The 25506-nt window shown below is 41.9% G+C and overlaps 1 protein-coding gene across 8 annotated transcripts in view, besides 1 other annotated feature; it reads right to left on the reverse strand.

The window, feature by feature from the left end:
- Nucleotides 2979-25506, reverse strand: part of HGD (homogentisate 1,2-dioxygenase) — a 54068-nt gene continuing 31540 nt past the window's right edge. For 2 of the 8 annotated variants that reach the window (NM_000187.4, XM_017006277.3), the window contains exons 7-14: nucleotides 22684-22718; nucleotides 21780-21859; nucleotides 21074-21173; nucleotides 19126-19250; nucleotides 16396-16500; nucleotides 13262-13388; nucleotides 7954-8135; nucleotides 2979-3336 (exon numbers count right to left, since the gene is read on the reverse strand). In NM_000187.4, the coding sequence (NP_000178.2) occupies nucleotides 3187-3336; nucleotides 7954-8135; nucleotides 13262-13388; nucleotides 16396-16500; nucleotides 19126-19250; nucleotides 21074-21173; nucleotides 21780-21859; nucleotides 22684-22718 (904 nt within the window). In that variant the 3' untranslated portion in view covers nucleotides 2979-3186. The other 6 variants (XM_005247413.3, XM_005247412.3, XM_011512746.3 and 3 more) reach the window with 6 other exon arrangements.
- Nucleotides 16604-17803: an enhancer, noted in NCBI's record as "BRD4-independent group 4 enhancer chr3:120360644-120361843 (GRCh37/hg19 assembly coordinates)". NCBI's record gives its function as "activates an origin of replication core promoter dependent on BRD2, P300/CBP, MED14 and CDK7 cofactors, and independent of BRD4, by STARR-seq in HCT116 cells {active_cell/tissue: HCT116}" and the evidence as "EXISTENCE:reporter gene assay evidence [ECO:0000049][PMID:35650434]".

Consider the following 25506-nt stretch of genomic DNA (forward strand, 5'->3'; position numbering starts at 1 on the left):
AATGAAATATTTCAGTGGTTGTCTTAGTTACTGGTTGAGAGAAGAGTCCAGGAAGTACCCTAGGAGAGTGGGGAAGTGAGAGGGAAGGGAAGGATGTGAATAATGGGTGCATTATCAAGAAGTTGCCATGTGGGCACTTGGAGCAGAATTCCTCTGGGAGCTGCAGAGAGCCAGGGCAGAACACAAACCTCAGAGGTATGAGGTGACAGAGCTGCTGTATTAATCCACTAATTCCTATTTGTCATGGGTTTAAGGCTACATCCAAGGCCATTCATTCCTAAGCACTTTGGCTGAGTTCTGGTTTTGGCTTCAGGCAGAGTTGCCAGTGCTGGCAATAGAAAGCAGCCAGTTGGCACTGAATGGTGATTGCTGATGGGATGTAGGTAAGCCACTGGCAGCCTCTGCTACAGTGGTCGATTTTTAAACTTATTTTAAAGTACTGACTTCTTTGCTTAGTTAATGTTTAATTTTTAATAGACTTTTTTTATATGAAAGAATATCGGGGCCAAGCATGTTGGCTCACACCTGTAATCCCAGCACTTTGGGAGGCCAAGGTGGGAGGACAGGTTGAGCCTAGGCGTTCAAGACCAGCCAGGGAAACATGGCAAGACCTCGTCTCTACAAAAAAATAAAAAATCAGCTGGGTGTAGTGGTGTGAGCCTATAGTCTCGGTTACTCAGTACTGAGGGTGGGAGGATCGCTTGAACCCGGGAGGTTGAGGCTGTAGTGAGCTGCGATTGTGCCACCGCACTCCAGCCTGGGTGACAGAGTGAGACCCTGCCTCAAAAAAAAAAAAAAATGTATCAACCTCCGTCAGCCTTAAAGATATCTTCACCTTAGTTTTTGAGACCATGAAATACCATTGCCAGAAACCTAGCAGTCATCCCAGCCCTGTCCTTAACTCTTCTTTGAGTCACCCATTACATCCAATCCACCAAGTCATTTCAGGTCTACTCTAAAACATTCTGGAATTTATCCACTTCTGTCTCTGCTGCTACCTCATTAGTTCAGGACAAGGTTTATTTTTGCTTGGACTATCGCAATAGCTTCCTCTTGGGCACCCCACATTCACTCCTCTTTCAGGCACTTGAATCCATGAGGCTTTTTCTTAAAATGCTTCTCCCCTTCCCACCTCTCCCCATCCCCGCTCTTCCAATGACTTGCTCCTTCCTATCCTTTAGGTCTGGTTAAAGTCACATCTTCACTGAAGACCTTCCTTCCTCTGAAGAAAGAGCTCTCCTAGCTCATACCACTTGTTATTCCATATCAATCCCCGTTTGATTTCTTCTCAGCACGTTCCACAGTTTGTAATATTTTTGTTTATTTTGTTGTCTCCCTCTCTTTATTTTATTATTATCTTTTTTTGACACAGAGTCTTGCTCTGTCAACCAGGCTGGAGTGCAGTGGTGCAATCTTGGCTCACTGCGACATCTGCCACCAGGGTTCAAGCATTTCTCATACCTCAGCCCCCAAGTAACTGGGATTACAGACATGTGCCACCATGCCAGGCTAATTTTTGTGTTTTTAGTAGAGATGGGGTTTCGCCATGTTGGGCAGGTTGGTCTTGAACTCTTGGCCTCAGGCAGTTTGCCCGCTTTGGCCTCTCAAAGTGCTGGGATTATAGGTGTGAGCCACGGCACTCGAACTCCCTCTATTTATTTATTTATTTATTTATTTATTTATTTATTTATTTATTTTATTTGCTATCTCTCCAGGGGGAAGTCATGTCATCTCCCTCTCTGTAATGTAACCTTGGTAAGGGCAGGACCATGCCTATCTCCTTGACCACTTACCCCTAGTAGGATTGCCAAATTTAGCAAATAAAAATACAGGATGCCCACTTAAATTAGAATTTCAGGTAATCGATTAATAATTTTTTAACATAAGAATGTCCAAGTATTGCATAGGACATACTTACACTAAAAACTATTTGTGGTTTGTCTGAAATTTAAATTTAACTGGGCCTCATATATTTTATCTGGCAATCCTAATCCTTAGGCCCTGACACATAGCTGACTCTCACTACATCTTACTGAATGAAAATTTGGTAGCAGCATATCAAAATTGCTACTATGGCAACAAAGCTGGGGAAATGTGCAAAGTACAGAACTGAAGTAGTGAAAAATATCATTTTCCATCATATTTCTGTTCAGATTTGCCTGTCTTTTCACACCAGGAGACTCTAATCAACTCACATCTAAAGTCTTGGGCAGCCCAGCGCTCTGGGAGGGATGCTGACCATAGGAAGGGAACTGGTAGGTACAGCTTTTCACACAGTGGAAATTTTTATCATGGCCTTATACTCGGGCCTTGATTTTCTTTGGCCCTTATCTCTCCAGACTGTGAGCTCCTTAAGGGGACAGCCTGCTTCTTTTTATTCAACCCTTCATTCCCAGCATCTTCAACTGTAGCTGGTAGTAAGGACTCAACATGTGGTTACCGAATGGATTGATAAATGAGTGAAGGGTAGGGTAACTAACTGTCCTGGTTTGACCAGGACTGAGGGGTTTCCTGGGATGTGGGTCTTTCAGTGAAAAAATTGATATAGTCCTGCACAAACTGGGACAGTTGGTCACCCCAAGAAAAGGAGTGATTCTTACTTCTTGGTGGCTGGTGTTCTTCTCCAGTATCATCATATTGGCTGCTACGTGACTACCAAGATTAGACAGCCTATTGGCCCGGTTCCTCATCGATTGAAAGCTGGATATTTGGAGCACTCATGATCCCCTAAATTTCCCCATGTCTGGATTGGCTCCTAAGAGCTTTGCCATACCTCCAGTCTCAGCTCATGGTCTTAACGTTTGGCCTTATGGCCTGGTCTTGTGATACCTAGTATATGCCTGGACTTGTGCTCCTAGAATGAAGGCATTCAGGCCAACCACAAGGCAAAGGGCCCTGGGCCTTGGTTCAATCTTAGCAAGACTGACCTGACCTGCCAGGTTTGTCTCATCAAGACTTGATTATGACCAATCACTACGTCCACAGAACACCAGCAAGTTTATTGAGTAATTAAGGTGACAGCCATAGAACTTTGCAAATGCGTTTCCATAAAAGTTCTGAGTTACTTGACTATGAAAAGTGAATTTTCATTTTAACCAACCCCCTCCTCCAATACTACCAGAAAGCATGAGATTCTGAAGAAATCTTCACAAATCTACTCTTAATTATGGTAGCAATGTTCCAGTCTCAATTAGGTTCTGCTGGGTTCCTGGAGTTGGGAGTGAAGTGGCTCTTGAGTGGCTCCCAGCACTTGTGGTAGTTCTCATCCAAACACCTGGAGGCCTTGAGTCCCCACTTTGTGACCGCCAGACTTAAAGATGATTCAAACATAAATGCCTGGAGGAAGTGACGATGGGGATGAGAAAAAAGAGGTGAGATAGATAATAAACACATTTGATTAGATGTCAACAGAAGGTATGGGTAGGTGAAATCTTCCAATAACAAATCAAAGATTTGTGTGCTAGAGTGGTGAGGAGAGCAGGCTCAAGCCCTGAGTTGTGGCTCTGGTCCTACCATTTGTAAGCTGGTGAGACCTGGTACAAGACCCTTAACTTCTCAGGGCCTCAAGTTTCATTCTGTAAAATAAAATTCAGCCCTTAAGCTTCAAATTATCTTCATGGTATTACGGAACTAAGTCTGCTAGATCCAAGGGCAGACATGGGAGAATCCTGGGAATATCCATCTTCTGAGGGCCTTCACTTACTGTGGCTATGTCCTTGTGAGGAAAGTCATACTTCCCATTTTGCAGAGGAGGAATTAAGGCTGAGAGCTGGGAAACGACTTGCTTAAGGCGACAAGTCATCGCAGAACTGGGATTTGAGCCTGTCTTTTCAGGACTCTGACCAAGAGATGGGCTGGGAAAAGGGAAAAAGGGAGTGGGGAGGAGAGGGAGGTGAAGGAAATGGCAGGAATGGCTGTAGCACTTTTAAAAGTCATATCTCAGAAGTGTCTGAATGGTGGATGTTGCACTGTCAGGAGGTTTTTGTCCACAACAGAAAGAATATGTAAATACTCTGTGCATCTTAGACATTACAGCTTCATCAATTGCTGACTTTTCTTATCCACTGTGGCTTTAAAAACAAAACAAAACCCAAAAACCAAACCCTACAATTCTTATATGCTCACATTTGGAAATTTGTATAATACAGACAGGCAAAAGGAAAATAATAGAATTATCTTGTGCTACAACCCAAAGCACCCACATTAATGTTTGGGCTCTAATATACATTAAATTATTTTTGTCTAAAACAATGGATATGAGTATCGCTGCCTGATTTCCTGTGACAGGCTTGATGGGAAGACTGGATGAGATCATATGGAAGTGCTATGCAAGTTATACAGTGCTATTCAAGATGCAGAAAAGGCTTTCAATAAAATTCAGTATATCTTCAAGTTAAAAACTCTCAATAAACTAGGCATTGAAGGAACACATCACAGAATAATAAGAGCCACCTATGACAAACCCACAGCCAACATCATACTGAATGGGGAAAAGCTGGAAGCATTCCCTTTGAAAACCAGCATAAGACAAGGATGCTCTCTCTCACCACTCCTATTCAACATAGTCTTAGAAGTCGTGGCAAAGAGTAATCAGGCAATAGAAAGAAATAAAGTGCATCCAGAAGAGAAGAAGTCAACCTATCCCTGTTTGCAGATGACCTGATTCTATATCTAGAAAACACCATAGTCTCAGCCCAAAAGCTCCTTCAACCAATAAACAACTTTCAGCAAAGTTCATGATACAAAATCAATGTACAAAAATCACTAGCATTCCTATACACCAACAACAGTCAAGCTGAAAGCCAAATCAGGAATGCAATCCCATTCACAACTGCCACAAAAAGAATAAAATACCTAGGAATACCCCTAACCAGAGAGGTGAAAGGTCTCTATAATGAGAATTACAAAACACTGCTCAAAGAAATCAGAGAAGACACAAACAAATGGAAAAACTTTCCATGCTCATGGGTAGGAAGAATCAACATCATTAAGATGACGATACTATCCAAAGCAATGTAAAGATTCAACGCTGTTCATATCAAAATACCAACGACATTCTTCACAGAACTAGGAAAGACTATTTTAAAATTCATATGGAACCAAAAAAGAGCCCAAATACCCAAGGCTATCCTAAGCAAAAAGAACAAAGCAGGAGGCATCATGCTACCCAACTTCAAAGTATACTACAAGGCTACAGTAACCAAAACAGTGTGGTAATGATACAGAAACAGGCACATAGACCAATGGAACAGAATAGAGAGCCCAGAAACAAGGCCGCACACCTATAACCATCCGATTTTCAATGAAGCTGACAAAAACAAGCAATGGGGAAAGGACTATCTATTCAATAAATCATGCTGGGACAACTGGCTAGTCATAAGCAGAAGATTTAAACTGGACCGCTTCCATACACCATATAGAAAAACCAACTCATGATGGATTAAGGACTTAAATGTTAAGCCCAAAACTATAAAAACTCTGGAAGATGACCTAGGCAATACCATTCAGGACATCAGCATGGGCAAAGATTTCATGACAAAAACATCAAAAGCAATTGGCAACAAAAGAAAAATTGACAAATGGATCTAATTAAACTTAAGAGCTTTATATATATATATATATATATATATATACACATACACACACACATACACACACACACACACACACACACACACACACACAGATAATGGAATACTATGCAGCCATAAAAAAGAACAAGATCATGTGTTTCTCAGGAACACGACGGAGCTGGAGGCCATTATCCTTGGCAAACTAAGAGGAACAGAAAACCAAATATTGTATGTTCTCACTTCTAAATGGGAGCTAAATGATGAGAACTTGTGGACACAAAGAGGGGAGCAACAGACACTGATGCCTACTTGAGAATAGAGGGTGGGAGGAGGGAGAGAATCAGAAAAAATAACTATTGGGTACTGTTTAGTACCCGAGTGATGAAATAATCTGTACAATAAACCCCTGTGACATCAGTTTACCTATATAACAAATCTTCACATGTACCCCTGAACCTCAAATAAAAGTTAAAAATAAATAAAGAAATAAAAGAAAAAAAATGAATAAGACCTAGCATTTGATAGCATAACAGGGTGACCATAGTCAATAAAAATTTAATTGCACATTTTAAAATAACTGAAAGAATATAATTGGATTGTTTGTAACACAAAGGATAAATGCTTGAGGTAATGGATACCCCATTTATCTTGATGTGATTATTACGTATCATATGCCTGTATCATCATATCTCATGTACCCCATAAATATACATACTTATTATGTATCCATAAAAATAATAAATAATAAGTAATAAAGATTTTTAAAAAGCACTATTCACATACAAGGATCATTATGGCCATTGCTATTGTCTCTTTGCTGACTGCTTCTTAAAAGCCTCTCCATTTGGCTGGATTAACAAAAGCCCCATCCCAGCTGACTTTGAAGATGCTATTGTACCAAGTTAATCACTCCAAACAAGAATAAGGATAAGGCATGTAGATAGACCTGGGTCTGAATTATATAATGGGAAATGGTGAGGACGACTGAAAGTTAGGTCTAGGTAAGATGTTGGACCCTCCGCCATCAGGTATTCTGGCTCCTTGATACCCAGGGTCTCCCATCCTAATAGGAGAGCTCTTTCTCACTAGTAATTCAAAGTATTGCTCCTCATAGAAACAGCCCTGTCCTACGCCTCACTGTTGTAAAACACAGCTCCCTCATAACATTGACTACCCAAAGCCAAATTGGGGGACCAAAGGTTATTGAGTGGCAACTCTAGAATAGCCTCCAGGACTGCACCTCCAGGAGACTTCAGAGGTAATAGCTTAACTGAGACTGCCAGACTGCATCTCTTTGAGATGTAGGGGTTCTACAGAAACTCCATAGAGGCCCTTGAAAGGGGAAATAGAGCCAAAGCAAGCAAATGGGACTCTGAACACCCTCCTTTTGCAAAGGAGCTCCACCAACTCTGGCTCCAGGGTTGGGACTGAAAGCAAACTGCAGTGGACAGACGGACAGATAATGCTCACTGTTTAGGTAGTTTGCAAGCATGAAGCAGGCAGGTCTCTGCTATAGATTTTAAACCAGGTAGCATTGAAGGCATTTATTTTCAAAAGTAAAGCAAATTTGCATGTGATTTAGCATAAAATTACTCCCTGTGGACCATAAACTCTACCTCGAAGAATGCAAAAATAAAATAAAATCAAGCACCGCAGCCAGCTGCAATTGTGTTCAGCCTCAATGTTTACAGCCTGACACAGGAAGAATACAAAACAGGTTTTAAATCCCATCAGTTGCATCCATGCCAAAGCAGAGCAAAGGAAAATGCAAAAAACAGCTGAGAATTGCTTCTCACAAGCCCTGACTATAGTGAGGCAAGGGCTTTTTGACCCTCCTTGGCTTGAAACACGTGCTGAAGGTGAGATCCTGCCTCCGCTACTACTGTGGCCCTGGAGGATTACTTCAAAACGCAGAAGACTCTGAGACATAGCATATGCCCAGGGCTGCATAAGGATACAGGAAGAGGCTTCACATAGTATTAATAATGTTCCCTTACATTTGAATAGTGTTGGACAGTCTGTTAGGTTAACTCATAGCCATCTGCTGGGTTGGATACTATACCCATTTTATAGATGGGGAAAATGAAGCACAGAGAAGCTAAGTGAGTTGTTCAAGATCCTGTAGGAACTAAGAGATGGGACTTAAACTCAGAACCCAGGTCTGACTCCAAGTCCAACGATCTTTCTACACCACCACAACAGAAGTCTAGTATATACACAAGGATGTGAGTATATATACATGTAAACATACTTATGCAGTCATTAACTCTCCCTCTTTTGACTCTTCCTCTGTGACTTTGGAGAAATGAAAAACGGCCACCCCTCTCAGTAAGGGTGGGGAGTTCAGAGGCCGCTGGAATGTGGCAGTTAACATACTTACCATGGTGCCATCGGCAATCCTCTCAGGTGCCAGCTTGACCTTGCTGGCCTTCTCAAAGCAGTCAGCATCAGGTCCATGGGGGGTCATTGTGCTGTGTAGACTCCCTCCCCCTGGCAGGAACCCACCTTGCTTTGCCTCATAGTGACCTCGGATGAGTCCCATGAACTCACTCATGCAGTTCCCTGGGAAGGTTGAAGCAGTATTATTTTTATTATCCAAGGCAAGACCAGTAAAACACAAAGCCCCTTAAACATTATTTCTGCAGAATTCCAAGAACACAGGAGAAACTAGTAAATTGTATAGGATTAATAAAGAATATGGATTGACAGAAGAACAATCATAAAACATTCATATTGGCATTCTTGGCAGGCACAGCTCTACTCCATGGCCATGTGGATTATCAGAGGTCTCGAGTTCCACTCTCTGACAGGAATCAGGCTAGATCTAAAGAAAATCAGGGCCCAGAGAAGATAATAATAATTAAAATGCTAGTCATAATAGAGAGCGAATGTACTCTATCATCTAAGCTTACGAGCCCTGTATCAAAGTTATCTTATCTCCCAGATCATAACCCTTTCCCAAGTAGCTCCACTGTAGGACACAGCAACAGCATATTTCTAATTCCCAATCTAGAAGGCTTAGATTGAGGGTGTGTGGTTTTGATGGATGATAGATGATAATGTAATGAAAAGAACCCCAGACTTAAAGTCCATTATCAAATGATAATCTGTGTGAAAGAATCTTGGTATGTGTATAAAACAGACCATAAATGCTATTTATTATAACAAATATTATCTTCTATAGATGAATCTGTTATCCTCTTGTTTTTCTGTTCTTCAGAATGTCTTTTGGATTTGTTTTTATTTTTTCTAGTTCCATTGATACCCTATTCATAGAGTCCTAAATCTTGAAATTGGAAGGTATCCTTACTTCTACTCAATGTAGAAGAAATTTCTATATCTTTCCTGACTGATTACCTCCCGGGCTCTGCCTGGATGTGAATGGAAGCTCTCCACTCTACAAAGCATATCATATTATTGAAGAGCTCTGTGTGTAAGAAAGTTCTTATATTAAATGGAAATTTGCTTTTATATGAGTTAAATTCATTGGTCCTAGTTGTGCTTTCTAGAGTCACACAAAATTTAACAAAAATCACCATGCTTCCACTCTTCCAATCTTATGCTTCTATTGAAATAAAGCTCTTTATTAGAGTAGCAATACCATAGAGCAGGAATTAAAGAAATATAACACCTGGGCAAATTTAAGTGCCTTTGCATCTCAAACCACACATCTACTTACCCATTCATTCATCTGTCTTTTTCCCACTTCACCCATCTGCCCATCCAGTTAGCCAGCACATATAATTAGATATGTGCTGGCTAACATGAGACAGAGATGAATAAGAAATAGCTTTTAAAGCTACTTAAAAAAGAAATAATTAACAACAACAACAACAACATAGCCTTTAAAGCTACTCATAGTCTGTCCTGTGAGAGTACTGAGAGGGCAAACCAAGGACAGAATAGAGAGATGTGGCAGTGGCAACCGTTACAAAATCAAACACTGGACATGATACATGCCTGCCCTTCTTGCTTACATGTGAAGTATAACCAAGTGCCAAATGCTTTTATAATTGACTAAGCAGCCACACCCACCCTGCTCAGAAACAGAAAGCTACTGCAGGCCCCTACAAAGTGAGTGAGAGTGTGTGAGCTCCTGCTGAAGAGGTGAGACCCAGATCATAGTTCTACTTGTTTCTCTATGAAGTGGAAATACAGAAAAAGAAGCAAATGTAAGCATAAATTGTCTATGTTTTAAAAACAGTTCAGCTCATGACTTAAATTTGGTGTCAAGCTCCTTGCTCTAGTATGTGTCCTCAGGGTCACCTTCATGGCTTAATTTTAAGAAGAGAGCAAAACAGAATTCAGCTTTGATCTGAATATGAATTTAGATAGCAGTGAGCTTGGTGATGACATTTCTATATCATTTTCTATATTTCAAAGGACAGTGGGAGGATAGACCTTGCCTTTCTGATTAAAGCTGAATCTAGGCCGGGCTCAGTGGCTCACGCCTGTAATCCCAGCACTTTGGGAGGCCGAGGCGGGTGGATCACGAGGTCAAGAGATCGAGACCATCCTGGCCAACATGGTGAAACCTCGTCTCTACTAAAAATACAAAAAATTAGCCGGGCGTGGTAGCGGGCGCCTGTAGTCCCAGCTACTCAGGAGGCTGAGGCAGGAGAACAGCATGAACCCGGGAGGCAGAGCTTGCAGTGAGCCAAGATGGCGCCACTGCACTCCAGCCTGGGAGACAGAGTGAGATTCCGTCTCAAAAAAAAAAAAAAAAAAAAAAAGCTGAATCTAGTTGACTAAGGCACATTAAGATGACTGGAGGCAATATTTCTATAGAAATAATTCTCCATTTTCTCTTATAATAAAGTCACATCAAAGCAGCAAAGATTTTGAGTATTGCCAAGGCAATATTTTTAATATCTCTGGAAAACTCATTTCTAACCTGGGGTTCTGTGGTTTTTTCCCAACGAACTCAGGGTACCCATACCTTTATAAGATCTACCCTGGGGCCAAATTTACTTTGAGAGTCATTAAAAAACTATAGGAGGCATCTCTCAAGATTATTTGTGTCAGCAAGTCTGAACTACAAATAAAAATTAAGGAATGGGTTGAGACCCTATAGCACAGTAGCAAACTTGTCTAAATCAGATGACTCTATTATTCCTCCACCTAGGGATGGGGACACACCCTAGGCCAGTATTTCTCAACAAGCAGTCTGTAAACCTCCTTCATCAGAATCCCCTGACTTGCCAGTGAAAAATGTAGATTCTGGCCAGCCATGGTGGCTCATGCCTGTAATCCCAGCACTTTGGGAAGTCAAGGCAGGTGGATTGCTTGAGTTTAGGAGTTCAAGACCAGCCTGGGCAACATGGCAAGACCCCGTCTGTACTAACAATACAAAAAAAAAAAAAAAAAGCCAGGTGTGGTGGTGCACACCTGTGGTCCAAGCTACTCAGGAGACTGAGCGGGGAGGATCACTTGAGCCTGGGGGGTGGAGGTTGCAGTGAGCTGAGATTGTGCCACCTGCACTCCAGCCTGGGTGACAGAGTGAGACCCTGTCTCAAAAAAAAAAAAAAGGCAGATTCAGCATCACTTGTGGGAACTTGTTAAAAATGCAAATTCTTAGGTCCTATCCCAGACCTACTGAAGCAGAAATTCTGAGGATGGAGCCCAGTAATCTGTGTTTTAATAAACCTTCCAGCTGACTGTGACACATGGTAAAATGTAAGAACCACTACAGGCACACAGAGTAACCTCAATACAAGAACAAGAGTGAAATGGTGAATTATTAAGGAGTAACATGCGAAGTACAGACTATAAGCCAGGGCAATTTTCTCTCCTTGACAACAGGTCCTCTAGGTCACTAACTTCCAGGAGGAGAAAAGTTAGAGTCTTTAGTAGGCTTCACAGTTTTTAGAAACGACTTATGATGCTATTCACAAAATAGCTGCTGTCTTTGCCATGGTAACTGATTGTTTTCTTTTCTCTACCATGATGGTGCCATCTGAAAAGGGGGATGCTGGCATTTGACCATGGAGTGGCCTACGTCCATCCTAAGGGCCTTCATTCCTGATGCTATAAAATAGCTAAATTGGCCATTCAGTGCACTGTTGTGTTCTGTTGAGCCCTGACACCTGGGAACTGGTATATATAGAGAGGGACCTATTATAAACAGAAGGCCCTGGAGTTTACTAAAGAAAGGAATTTGTTTTCTAGAATGTTCCAGGTGGAATGCCTCTTAGAGTCTTTCCAGAACTCTATGCACAAAAAAATGCACACTCCAGGAAGTAGAATTGCACATTGACCTTTGATTGGATTTTCAGCTAGCTATTGCACAATTAAAAATGTCAACCTCATTAAGTACAGCCGTGAAGTACTTTATTTATTCTTGTTGATGCATTCACTTATTAAATAAATATTTATTAAAAGCATGCTATATATCAGGCACTATGCTAGCCATACCAGTTAGTGGTCATGAGTGTTTGCTCTGGTATCAGACAGCCTGCAATTAAATCCTGACTCTACACTTAACTTGCTGTGAGTCCTTGAGAGAGTTACTTAATCCCTCTTGTGTCAGTTTAATTTTCTGAAAAAAAAAAAAAAAAAGCGGGGGGGACAATAATACTACCTGTCTCTTACAAGTATTATAAACACTTCATGAGTTAGTTTTTTAAAAAACTTGTAACAGAGCCATAGAAATTGGACAATAATTATTAGGTGCTAAGAATAATAATATTAATAAAATAAAAATAGTAGATTTGTTAGGTCTTGTACTAGGCAACAAATGTTCTGCAGAAACTCTTTCCAGAATAGAGTTCATTCCTTAATGCAGGCTGCAGTCTGCTTTGCCCTGCCAAAATAATTGGAGAAGGCACATTTCTGTCTCTCTGTCTCTCTCTCTGTCTCTCTCTGTCTCTCTCTTCTTATTTCTCTGGTTCTCTGAACCAGACTTAGGTGATGAACTTTCCCAAAACAACAGACTAACTAACAACCTCCCCAGTATTCCCCAAAAGGAAACATCTAAAATGTGAGGAAACTTGTTTAGAAGCCTTTCTAACAAGGCTTCTAAACTTTACCAGCCTTTCTGCCTCTTACAGGGACAGAGAAACTGGGAACTAGGCTCAGAATCAATGCATCACTGTTGATGTAGTTTGGATGTATGTTCCCTCCAACTCTCATGTTGAAATGTGATCCCCAGTGTTGGAGGTGGGGCCTGGTTTGAGGTGTTTGGGTAATGGAGGCAGATCCCTCATAAATGGCTTGGTGCCATCATGACGGTTATGAGTGAGTTCTCACTCTATGAGTTCACATGGGGTTTGGCTGTTCAAAAGAAGCTGGGACTTCCTCCTTTCTCTTGCTTGCTCTCATCATGTGATATGCCAGCTTCCCTCTTGCCTGCCACCATGATTGTATTTCCTGAGGCTTCATTAGAAACAGATGCCAGCACCATGCTGCTTGTACAGCCTGCATAACCACGAGCCAAATGAACCTCTTTTCATTATAAATTAAGTAGCCTCAGGTATTCCTTTATAGCAACGAAGAATGGACTAACACAACTACCATCCCTTAAAGAGATTAAAGCTTGGGGATCAGCACTAGGCCTTGTGCAGCAGGATCCTGAATTCATGCCATGGTGGGTGTCCAGAAATAACCCAGGCATTATTCCCAATGTGTAGCGCTCACTGCTTTGTTGTCTCTTTGGCTTGCAAATGTGGCTTGGTAAAAGAGAGACTTACTATGGTAATAAGGAGGCCTGAAGGTCTTATCAGCAACCCCCCATCGAGGTGGGAAGATGACAAAATCAGCAATGGCCACTCCAGGGCGGACAGACTTAGCAGTCAATACTGTGAAAATGGATGGGTCCTGTGAACACACAAGGAGAGACTGAACGCATGATGCAAGGGAAGTGACTGGACAATGACACACATTTCATGCATACATGAAGGTGTTTGCAAGTGACATTCTAATTTTTTTATTTATTTTTATTCAACTTTTAATTTAGATAGAGGGATACATATGCAGTTTTGTTACATGGGTATATTGTGTGATACTGAGGTTTGGGGTAGGGATCTGATATGGTTTGGTTGTGTCCCCACCCAAATCTCATCCTGAATTGTAGCTTCCATAATCCCCACATGTTGTGAGAAGGACCCGGTGGGAGGTAACTGAATCATGGGGGCAGGTTTTTCCCATGCTGTTCTCATGATAGTGAATAAGTCTCACAAGATCTGATGGTTTTATAAAGGGCAGTTCCCCAACACATGCTCTCTTGATTGCCTCCATGTAAGACATGCTTTTGCTCCTCCTTCGCCTTCCACCATGATTGTGAGGCCTCCCCAGCCATGTGGAACTGTGGATATGTTAAACCCCTTTTTCTTTATAAAGTACCCAGTCTCGGGTATTTCTTCACAGCAGTATGAAAATGGACTAATACAGGATCCCATCACCCAGGTAGCGAGCATAGTATCCAATAGGTAGTTTTTTCACCCTCCCCCTTCTAGTAGTCTCCAGTGTCTATTTTTCTCATGTTTATGTCCATGGGTGCTCAATGTTTAGCTCCCACTTATAAGTGAAAAGATGCAGAAGTTGGTTTTCTATTCCTGCATTAATTTGCTTAGGATTATGGCTTCCAGCTGCATCCATGTTGCTGCAAACGGACAGCCTAATTTCTGATCAAACAACAGAAGTCTGGGCTTGTCATCAAGGTGCAATAATCACTCATATGACTTTTTCCTCTTGCTGTGCTTGAGGCAAAATGAATTAACACCAGCTAAAAGGATTCTGAACTGCTTTTTCACCCTGCTGAGCCCACATTACATGCAACTTATTACCCCGTGGGTCTGAGAACCAACGGTGCCTGCTTCTCAACCTCAGATCAAGTTGACTAGAGCTGAGATGTGCAGCAGAAGGGATGCTCAGAGCAAAGTAGAAATAGAAATAAAGCAAAATCCAAGTTTTGGTGTAGATGTGCTCCTCTTTGGGAGAATACGGAGATTCCAGATTGTATCCATTGGCAGAAAAGTCTGAGAAGTGGTTCATTGCTTTCCTACCTTTGTTTGACTTTCAGGTCTAAAACACAGCATTTACATCCGTAGTCTTCATAGTGGTAGTGTAGAGATAGGATAGGTTGAGGGACGAAATTATACTTTTTAAAACTCTTCAGAATTCTTTAGTGAGAAGGTTGAGATTCAATTTAATTGAAATCAACAATCATGTTCCCTTTCAGATGCCATGTAAGAGTCTGGAGATTCAAAGATCATGGGGATCGATTCCCTGCTTCTTTAGCATTAATTGTGGGGTGGGGGTTGGGCAGCTAATTCTACCTGAAAGGGTCAAGGAAGGCTTCAAAGAGGAGGTGACATTTGAGGTAGGTCTTCAAGAATGAACAGAAAGAAAGAAAAAGAGAGAGAGAAAGGAAGGAAGGAAGGAAAGAAGGAAGGAAGGAAGGAGCATATGTACCCTTGAACCTAAAATAAAAGTTAAAAAAAAAAAAAGAAAGGAAGGACGTGGCGGGGATGGGGGAAAAAGGGAGGGAGGGAGGGAGGGAGGACTAAGGAAGTGGGAAGGAAGGGAAATGACATTTTAATCACTGAAAACACATCAAAGTGCACAGAGATTTTGTTAAGAGGAGAGAAGGCTAAAACCCCAGTGCATTGACAGAAGGGAGAGGGGCAAGAGGTGATACTGGAAAATGAGTCCAGGGACAGATGGTGAAGAGCATCAAACACCATGCTTCAGAGTGCAGACTTAATCCTAAGCCATGGGAAGCCTGCAAAGGCTTTCTAATGAAGACAGTGGTGGCATGATCAGAACTGAATTTTGGAAAAATAACTATTGCAGCAATACAGAGAAGATCGCATCTGTGTAAATTCAAATAAAAATAAACCCAACCCTTATTGCTGTGAGAATTGACATTTCTTCAACTGTCATGGGACATGATCTGAAACTATTAAAGCAAAGGTAGTGAATCACAAATAAAGCTTTATCAGTGTCTCAGGATCCTTTTTCGTGCTGTTTGTTTGGGGTCTGATGTCTCACTTTTCTTTTCCCCTTTGCTTTTATTAAGAGTTGCTGCTGTTTGGAGAGGTAGGTTTGTCCCCCCAGAGATAAACTGAACTGGCTCACAATAATCCTTTTGCCTCTGAGTCTCTGACTTCTGCTCTAATTATCCTTCCAGCTTGTGGGTTAGGTTCATCTCTTATGAAGTGAGCTGCAAAATGAACTTCCCCCCGGGGTCTCAGAACCACCACTTTATTAAGAATGTAGGGTCTTGGGAGCCTGCACTGTAGACCAGAGACCATTTGTGGCCTGCGAACTGAGTGAAAAATATGACCAAGTTCATGCTCTAGAATTTCTTTGGTTTAAACTCAAGCACTGAAAGTTATGAGTAACTTTAGAAGTGGGCTGTTCACTCTGTCACTGCCAAATACAGCCAGGAATGAAGGCACTGGGGTGAGAAGTCAGAGATCATAGAGGAGGCTCTTGAGAGTTGTGGGGTCAGGGACTTCTCCAAATTCATAAAGTTCCTTTCTCCTCATTCTACCACCGACATTAACACTTGGTTGTTTTGGGGGATAAATTTTCCACAAAGAAACTAAGTGTTTATCCACTTAGTTTGGCAAATACAAGTCAGAGTATCACCAATGCTCTGTAGAGAATGAAGCTATGTTCACAGGGGAATGTTGAGTATCTGGCTTTGCTTCCCTACTAGTTGTGTTATTTACTCCCTCACCAAAGGACAAATGACTATATCTAGGGCTTCCAATGGTGACATTGGAAATGTTAGATCTGTAAATGTCAGGGGTCTACTGTGGACCCCTCCCACCCAAGCGTTGCCTCATCCCAAGGCCCCTACAGGGTTCAGACTTACTGCATGGTCAAAGGCCACTGAGTTGATAACCATGAAATTCTTCAGGTTGTACTTGTAGGGTGTATAATTCCCGTGCCAGGCCACAACATTGAACGGGGAGACATCCTAAACACAAAAAGCAGGAAAGGATAATTTTACCATCTAATGCTTTTGTAGCTGTGATCCCACAATATGTACTGAGTATACCTCTCTCTTCTTTTGATTTGATTTTGTTCTCGATTTAATTTTACCGTCCTTTGGGAGAAGTATAACCCTGAATCATTTTGTGGTTGCTCCACACACCCTCTACTTAGCCACTAACCCTATTTTTCTGGTTCATAAGCTGCAGCTGCCTTCTGATCACACATGCAGCAGAAACACAGCACATTCTCCAAGTAGTGCCTTTTCAACAATTTTTAACCTAACTGTGAGGATCTGTGGATGTCAGCAGTTCTCAAACAATCTGGGCTACCTTCTGTTTCCTGGAACAGAGAGTACCTGCTGTGATGCTTCTCCAGGTAATTTCAGCCTAGAGGAGCTTGCAATAGACACAGTGCCTGGGTTGGTGAGTCCAGGAGAGGGGAGAAGGCCTCTAAAAGTTCCAACTCCAAGGACTTGAGATTTCAGAGCAATCCTAACATAATACTTCCTGGTCCTGTCCTGGGGTAGAAGAGGATCAGTGTCCTGCTATAGGAAGGTGGTCCCTTCTGTATCTATGGGTCCGAAAGTGCTAAAGATTTTAATGAAGGCGCTACTCATAGAGGCGTGGTTAGGGTTAACTGGAATGACTAGAAATGTTGAGGTATCTGAGCCTAGCAATAGCGGGAAGACACTGCTATTCCTGGGCATGTGGAATGAGGAGGGAAATATTGTTATAGGACTTTAGCAAGAGCTAGAATTATAAAGAAGGGTGTTACCCAGTGGTGTGCTGGTAAATATTTCACAACTAGCACTCTGAAAAAAATACATAAAGCATTGACATATAGTGTTTACTGATTTCTAAGGTGTATACAGTCTCACCATGATGATTTTCTAGCTACCAGTATGACATCAACAAATACACAGTTGGACAGAAGCGTGCATATCAGCTTTTGCAAGTCACTATGAATCAGCTCCAGCCCACCACTAGGGCTACCCAACAGGAACTGAGGTCATATGGGGGATGCAGCTACTGTCAGAAACACAGTCCTAAACAGCGAGGAAGCAGGGGAAGAAATATCCCAATTTGTCTTTCCTCCTGCCTTGTAGTTTCCTGTGGGTTGAACCCAACAGAAACCAGCTGGCTAGGGAGCCCGGGTGATACAGTCAACCTTCCAGGGCACAGATCATGGCAAAGAGGGAGAATGGATCAGTGGGGACTCACACAGAAAATAACCAGCACAGGGTCCACTTGGAAAGTGCAAACCTTTCGGAGGAGCTACTGGCTGCTTCTACAATTGTGGTTCTTTAACAATTGTATGTAAACAATGATCTGGGGAACATGCTTAAAATGAATGTAGGTTTCCATGTCCCATCTCCAAAGCTTATCATTTTTTGCAAGGCTAGAGTAGTATCTAAGGATCTGCATTTTTTTTGAGAGGGAGTCTTGCTCTGTCGCCCGGGCTGGAGTGCAATGGCATGATCTTGGCTCGCTGCAACCTCCACCTCCTGGGTTCAAGCGATTCTCCTGCCTCAGCCTCCCAAGTAGCTAGGATTACAGGTGTGCACCACCACATCTGGCTAATTTTTGTATTTTGGGTAGAGACGGGGTTTTGCCATGTTGGCCAGGCTGGTGTTGAATTCCTGACCTCAGGTGATCCGCCTGCCTTGGCCTCCCAAACTGCTGGGATTACAGGCATGAGCCACCATGCCCAGCCTAGGATCTGAATTTTAAACAAGCCTCCTTGAGGATTTCTGATGCAAATAGCCCCCGAATTTTGAGAGACCTTGACCCAGAGAATAAGAGAATAACAATATGTCTGCTTCAGGGGTTAATTTTAAGTGCCAAACTGGTTGGCCTCGGCTGGTTGGCATTATCTCTAGATGCTGCCTAAGAAGAATAACATACCTTGGAAAATATAAGGAATAAGTCAAATAGACAAAATGAAGCAAACAAATAATGCTAAACAGAAGAGATCTTTGGGTTCTTCTTATTATATGATTATTTTATTCTAATATATATTCAGTACATTTAGTAATATATTATGTTATAGAGTCCATATTACATTGTTGTTATTATTATTTATTAATATCTGTGCCTTTGCTTGTGTCCTGAATTGCCAGCCTGGTGGTACAAACCAAGCCAAGCTAATTAACTGAATTCTACTTGTTTTGTAGAATTGCTTGTATTTGAAATAGGGTGGTATTGGAGACTATAAATCTTGGCTGATCTGTTAACTCATTTACTTTTCAGAACATATTATGCTGCCCATATATTATGTTTTCCATACCACTTATAGAAACCTACATATTGCTAATATTTTCATTGCTTGGTGAGTAGAAAGGGCACAACCTTTGGAGTCAGACAGATATGGGTTCAAATTCTGGTTCTGCCACTTACTGTGAAATTGGTAAATTATTTATCATTACTGGCCTTTTCCATGACTATGAAAGTATAATTGACTACTAGAACTATTTGCTTTATTTGTAGTGCCGTAGTGGTATGATAACAACGAAAGGATATATGTAAAGTTTGTAACACTCGCCTTGGCAATCAGTAAGTGCTCAATCACTCTTCATTTCCTCCCTTGCCTGCCAACCCTTTTACTTTACCTGTTTGGCAGCAAACAGCTTGCCCTGGTATTTATTAATGACCGTGTAACCACCTGGTACTTGGCGATCCTCATACCAGGCAATGGGTATCAAGAAATCACGAGGATTGGCCAAGCCATTGGCCCCTAGAAAACAGTAACCCAAAAGTCTTTTAGAAACTTCCAAAACATAGGAAAGATGCCCATGGTTGCATGAAGAGAAAGGCTTTCTTTCATGTCAAGAGCTACTCCACAAATTGCTTTCATTGCTCAAAGATTCACTGCATTTCCAGTCTGGTACCTTTTAGGAAGACCCAAGGAATCTGGTCAGAAAAAAATTCACAAAAACCAGCATTACTTTCTAAGGTTGTGGAGTGACTATGGTTAACAAAACAATCTTATATGCATTATCTTATCACTACAGGTGAGGGGAAGGGAAGAGAGAAAGAGAACTGAAAAGAGGAAAAGGGAAGATCTGATAGAACTCCAGAACTTTTTCTTTTGAAGGAACCCTTGAATATTCTAGAAGTCATTGACAGTCCTTGATCTCAGATAGAAAGGGTTACACGCTGTTGCCTAAGGCATGCCTCTGCTCCCTAGACAGAACTCAGATTCCAGTCTGAAAACGGTTCTCCAGCCTGAAAAACCCTGTCTGCCACTCAGGAAGAAGTATTTAGGACCTGCCTGCTTACCTTTGCTTAGGAGTGAGTGTTTCCTCCAGAGAAAGGAAATAAATCAAAAGACCAAACATGAAAAACTTAAGTGCAAAAACAGTTTAACTCTGAGAGGAGCGAGCTGAGGAGTGTTTTATCATTTCCAGCTCCTGGACTTAAAAAAATAAGTCCCCGGCTGGTTAGCAAATTATAGATATTTTCCAGAGGGTACATGTTCCACGGAACCTGGAGGCTATGCTGACTATAGAGCAGCAGGAAGCCAGAGCAGAGTGGGAAGAGTGGGAGGTGAACAGGATGACAGACGGCCCACCACGGCTCCAGCTGCCTCTTGCTGCCTCCCACCTTCCTCTGCATATTTGGATTCCTCAGAGGAGCTGACCAGAAGGCACACACTGGCCTGTCCCTGTTTGCTCTAAAAAGCTGTTGACAAGGAAGGGAAGAATTGGGAGATGTGACCAAAGAGTAAACCAAGGGCCAATTTTCCCAGCCATTTCTTTCAATCCAAGAGACAGTTTGAGAACAACCCCTCCTAACATTTTCACTTCCTCCAGCTTGCCAGAAGAATGGGGGCTGTGGAGACCTTGGTTCACTTTGGAATGTTTTAATCTGCCTCCTGGGGTGTGGTTTCTAGATCTCTCATAGCACTGAGTGATGTGTTTTTTTGACTGCTAAGTGTGTGGATTTGGTGGGGTGTACACAGAGGTTCATAGACTATGTGTCACCCAGTCCATCCCTCCTTTCCATAGGAATACAGCCCAGGGCATTTTTATGGCCTTCCCATTTTATACAATATGCAAAACAAAAAGCAATCCAAACCAATCCATTATAAATCTCACTGACTTAACAAAAATATCTTCCTCCTAATCACAAAGCTTATTCTCACTTATATGCTTTTGCAAAGCTGTTCCCTTTCCTCTTTACTCTCCTCAACTTTTCATAAAGAATTAGTCAAATTCTCATCTCTTCTGTGGAGCTGTTTCTGGTGACCCAAGCCCACAGTAACCCAAACTTCTATATTCTTTCCTGTACACACTATGCAACCAGAAATCTATTACATGCCGTCTTTATCTCCAATGTCTGTATACTATTCTAGAGAGATTTATAATGGATTGGTTTGGGTTGCTTTCTGTTTTGCATATATTTTCTGGGAAGACACTTGGTCTAGAGAAGAATTTGTCTAGAGAGAAAAGTGGAAGTTTGAGTGAGACAGCGAAGGGAGAAGGATGTTTAACTTTCATGCAATTATCTGAGTCCTACATCTCAAGCGAGGCTTAGAGGCTTGTAATGAAGATTTACCAATTGGTCCAAGGTCAGGTAACTCAAAGTGGACACCATAGACCTCCAAGATGTAGCCCCTGGTCTCCTCAAAGACATCTATGCTGAACCGCATTCCTCTCTGGAATGGAAAGCAGACACTGGTGTGCCCTCTGAAATCACAGCTGTAGTTATAAAGAAGCTGCCCAGAGCCATAGCCCATCCCACATGCAAAAGTAAAGCTCTTGTTTGTTGAGCTGCTTGGGAGGTGACCAGAGCAAACATGAAAAACTGAATTTTTTTAAAAAGAAATTTTTAAAATTCAGTTTAAAAAGAAAAACTGAATTCCTAATCACACATGTGACCCAAGCCAATTCTAGTCTACCCTCTCATTGGGTCCAGAGATAATGGTAAGCCTGATTTAGCCACACTAAAAAAAAAAAAAGTCCACCTTCACTGCCTCTACTGCCATTAGTGGGAACAGGGCCTTATCCAGAGTATATGTAAATATTTAGGAAAGTGCAATGACAAGTGGTCTTTCCTTTAGAATTATGTGCTATATTAAAAGAAAGCAGGCACCCAAGCTTGCTTACTCTTCAGCACATGGAACCTTCTGCATAACTCAGATTCCCTCCTCGTTGCCCAGACATGACAGAGAAATTTTAGAGTTGGAAATAGCAGCAGCTGAAACATCTGACTGCTCCCAAATTAGTGAGAGGCAGGGAAGAGAAGGGGACACATCACCAACCTGAATGACGCAGATCTCATTGGGCTGTACAAGCATCTTGCCAAACTCGGTGTAAATGAGAAGGTTCCCTTTCTGCGGAACTGACAAAAAAAGACAGGGCAGTGGTGAGCAATTCTTTTGGTGTGATAACCATTTCATGAACAGGAAAGGCTTAAGGCTGCATTTGCTTTTCCATTCCAAATGCAAAGAGCTTTATTGAGTCTCTTGGGGAAAAAGATAAATTCTGACAACTTAGATTAGCTATTTTCCTATCTAGAAGAATGTGAATAAAACAATGACTCTGCTTTTTTGGTCACCAGGCAAGGAACTTGTATATGCACAATTTTGTGACATGGTCAAAAAGGGGTAGCAGAAATAGGATGGAAAATCACCCATTTCTGATAGTTCCAGTGAAAGGCTGACATTTGCTTGTGTGACATATACACGAAAATGTTGATTCCAAAATATTGATACTAAAAAACCATCAAGTATAATAGGCAGACCAGAACAATCTCTGATAGACTTTACATTTTAGATGGTCTCATGAAAATTTGAATTTAAATTGCAGTTACTAATGATAAATGGGCTTTTACTGAGAGAGTTTCAAGGCAAATACAGTTACCGTAATAAGTTAATCCCATTAGTATTAGTCTTCATTTCTTTTCAGCTGCCCAGGTCTCCCACATCAGAAAGGTCCAGAAGAGATGGGCAAAGACAGAGAGACAAGGAAATAGAGTAGGGGCTTTGAGGTACACTAGAAATCTTTTCCAGACCACCTGTGGCCTCTAGACCTCAGTCTCTGGATTGCACTAAATGAAATAAGACAGATTGGAGAATGAAGGAAAATAATGTGTATAAAATTAGAAAGCAGCTTGCGGTTAGGGGTCAATTAACAGTGAGGGGGTCTGAAGTCTTCAGAACTCACCAATCAAGAAGTCCCCATCTGAATTGTAAAAGCATCTGAAACATATAGAGTAATTCTTGTGATTTTCAGTTTTAACATTGTCTAGACAAATTACGTCATAACACAAATCATTGTTTAGTGCCTATGTAGCAAGCTCAGAGCTGGGTATAAAATGGGGAGCAAAATGACCCAGGCTCTGCCCTTGTGGAACTTAGAGTCTAGTGGGGAGTCAGAGAGCAATCAAATAATTACAGAACAATATCTTTGCAGACTGTAATGACCCTGTGAAAATCAAGTTTGAGGGAATGAAAGAATAGCGACTTGGTTAGTTTGAAGAATCAGCAAAGGCTTCTTCAAAGAAGGGACACATTTGACCGGATATCTGAAGGTGTTATCTAGGTGAGGGTTTGGAGAAAGGAAAGAATGTTCCAGGCAGAAGGAACAGCAAGTGCAAGTGCTTAGAAGGAGGGCACGCGGCAGCTTGAAAGAAGTGAATGAAGGCCAATGCGGCTCAAGTGGAGAGAGGGGAGGTGGCCTGATATGAGATTTGACCCAAAGAGAGGCCTCCAGAGCCTTGTCATAGGGCTGTGATCTTGTCCCTGATTCATGGCTCACAAGGTCGCTCAGCCAGGAAATGTAGAGTTGGGCTTTGGACACAAATGGTCCAGTTCCAGAGGTAGTGTATAATAAGGCAGGAATGCCATTTGCATACTTTGTTTTGCAAAGCCAGTATATAAGCTCCTCTACTTAAGAATTTTAAGCTTACACAGAGCTGTTAGCTGAAGCCAAAGTCGGGTAGCCTGCTACTAATGGGTGGTCCTAATGGAAACTCACACACTGTGACCTGGGACTCAAGAACAGCCCTGGGGAACCTTAGAAATTAAGGATATTCAAAGGCACATGTTCTCAGGATCTCCTGAGGGCTGGGTCATGGGTCACTGGTCACTCATATTTGGCTCAGAATACATCAATTCAAATATTTTACATATTAATAGTTTGACTATTTTTGTCAACAATAATTTGGCACCTGGACACATTGGGCCTCAGAGAAGACTCAGAACCCTGAAGGAGTTGCCTGAACTCAGAGCTAAGGTATCAGCAGGGACCTATTGAAAGCGCCTTCAACTTTGGGCTTCTCCTCTGATGGAACTGTTAAGTCCTCCTGAGCCCTGTTTGGTTGACAGTTCTTGATTTTTCCCTCCTAGGAAGCTCTTGTTTAGGTTCCTAATTCTAGTTCACAGGTCCATTCTAAAGGATTTCTCCATTGTCTTTTTCTTCTTTTTCTTTTTTTTTTTTTTTTTTTTTGAGATGGAGTCTCACACGGTTGTCCGGGCTGGAGTGCAATGGCATGATCTCGGTTCACTGCAACCTCCGCCTCCCGGGTTCAAGCAATTCTCCTTTTTCAGCCTCCTGAGTAGCTGGGATTACAGGCGCCCACCACCACGCCCGGCTAATTTTTTGTATTTTTTAGTAGAGATGGGGTTTCACTATGTTGGCTAGGCTGGTCTCGAGCTCCTGACCTCGTGATCCGCCCACCTCGGCCTCTCAAAGTACTGGGATTACAGGCGTGATCCACTGTGCCCGGCCTCCGTTGTCTTTTTCTAAAGACAACAAGAATGACTCCCTTTTGGGTACCCTGTTTGGTTTCCAGTTTGGAGGTGTATTCTAAATGGTCTACTCCATTGTTTTTTCTCCCCAAATTTAGCTCAGTTGGCTTGCCTGCGCATTCGTGTGACTGTCATTTTTGTGCATAAATGAGAGACTGAGCTCCTCAGCTCTGAAGAGAAAGGGCATTTTGTTCTTCCCAACTGAAAGGCACCCTGGGTGACTAGGGGCTGAGTTGCAGTGTCTGAGGGATTCATCCCCTGTGATGTGCAGTGGCGCTACAGGGAACCCCCCCAAAAATAGTTTTGTCCCGGAAATACATATAAGAGCTGATCACTTGGCATTTTGAGGCCTCTCAGAGGTGCTAGATCTCTGGAGAGAGAAACTGAGACAGGTAAGAGGGTGGAAACGACTCGGTGGTGAAACACTGTGGAGTCCTGCCTACATTCAGTACACCAATCCACCACCCACAAAACCCCTAGGTCACAGCTCAGTTCCTCCTTTTAAGAAAAAAAACGTGGGAAACAAATAATCTAAGAATGAGGAAAGACAAGGAGAAAGGTGCCTCTACTTGCAAGTGTTTGTGTAAAATGGAAAAGTTCAAGGGTATGCCAGAGTTTCTAGTACTCCAGCTGGTTACATATTACAGTCTGTTGTGCACATTTTAAACCAATGGGAAAATTGTATCATTCAGAGCCCAAAGGTCAACCTGCAACTACAGAGTTTCTAAGTTCTCTATTTCTCTGTTTTCTTTTCTGCCTGCTTTAAATCTGCTGTTACTTTTCTACTGAGATAAAAACCACAGTTTGGATCTAATGTACACCTTATATGTGTTGACTGATGTCTTATGCCTCCCTAAAATGTATAAAACCAAGCTGTAGCCCAATCACCTTGGGCACATGTTCTCAGGATCTCCTGATGGCTGTGTCGCAGGCCATTGGTCACTCATATTTGGCTCAGAAAAATCCTTGAAATATCAAACAACAACAAAAGCATATTTGGACTCAGACTTAAAGTCAAAATGCCTTTCGATCTACTCCTGCATTCCAGGGCTCCATCCTCCCTTTTCTGTTTACATTGTTATGTGATGTGCTTGTTTATATCACTGATGTTCAGTCAAGATAAATGCCTTTTGTCTCATTCATTATCATTGTCAATAAATATATATGAATATTGCCTTGAGGAGAAAACCAATAACAAAAACAACTATGTATGTGCATATGTGACTTCACAAGAGTG

Source organism: Homo sapiens, chromosome 3, assembly GCF_000001405.40.
Source record: "Homo sapiens chromosome 3, GRCh38.p14 Primary Assembly".
Taxonomy (NCBI): Eukaryota; Metazoa; Chordata; class Mammalia; order Primates; family Hominidae; genus Homo; species Homo sapiens.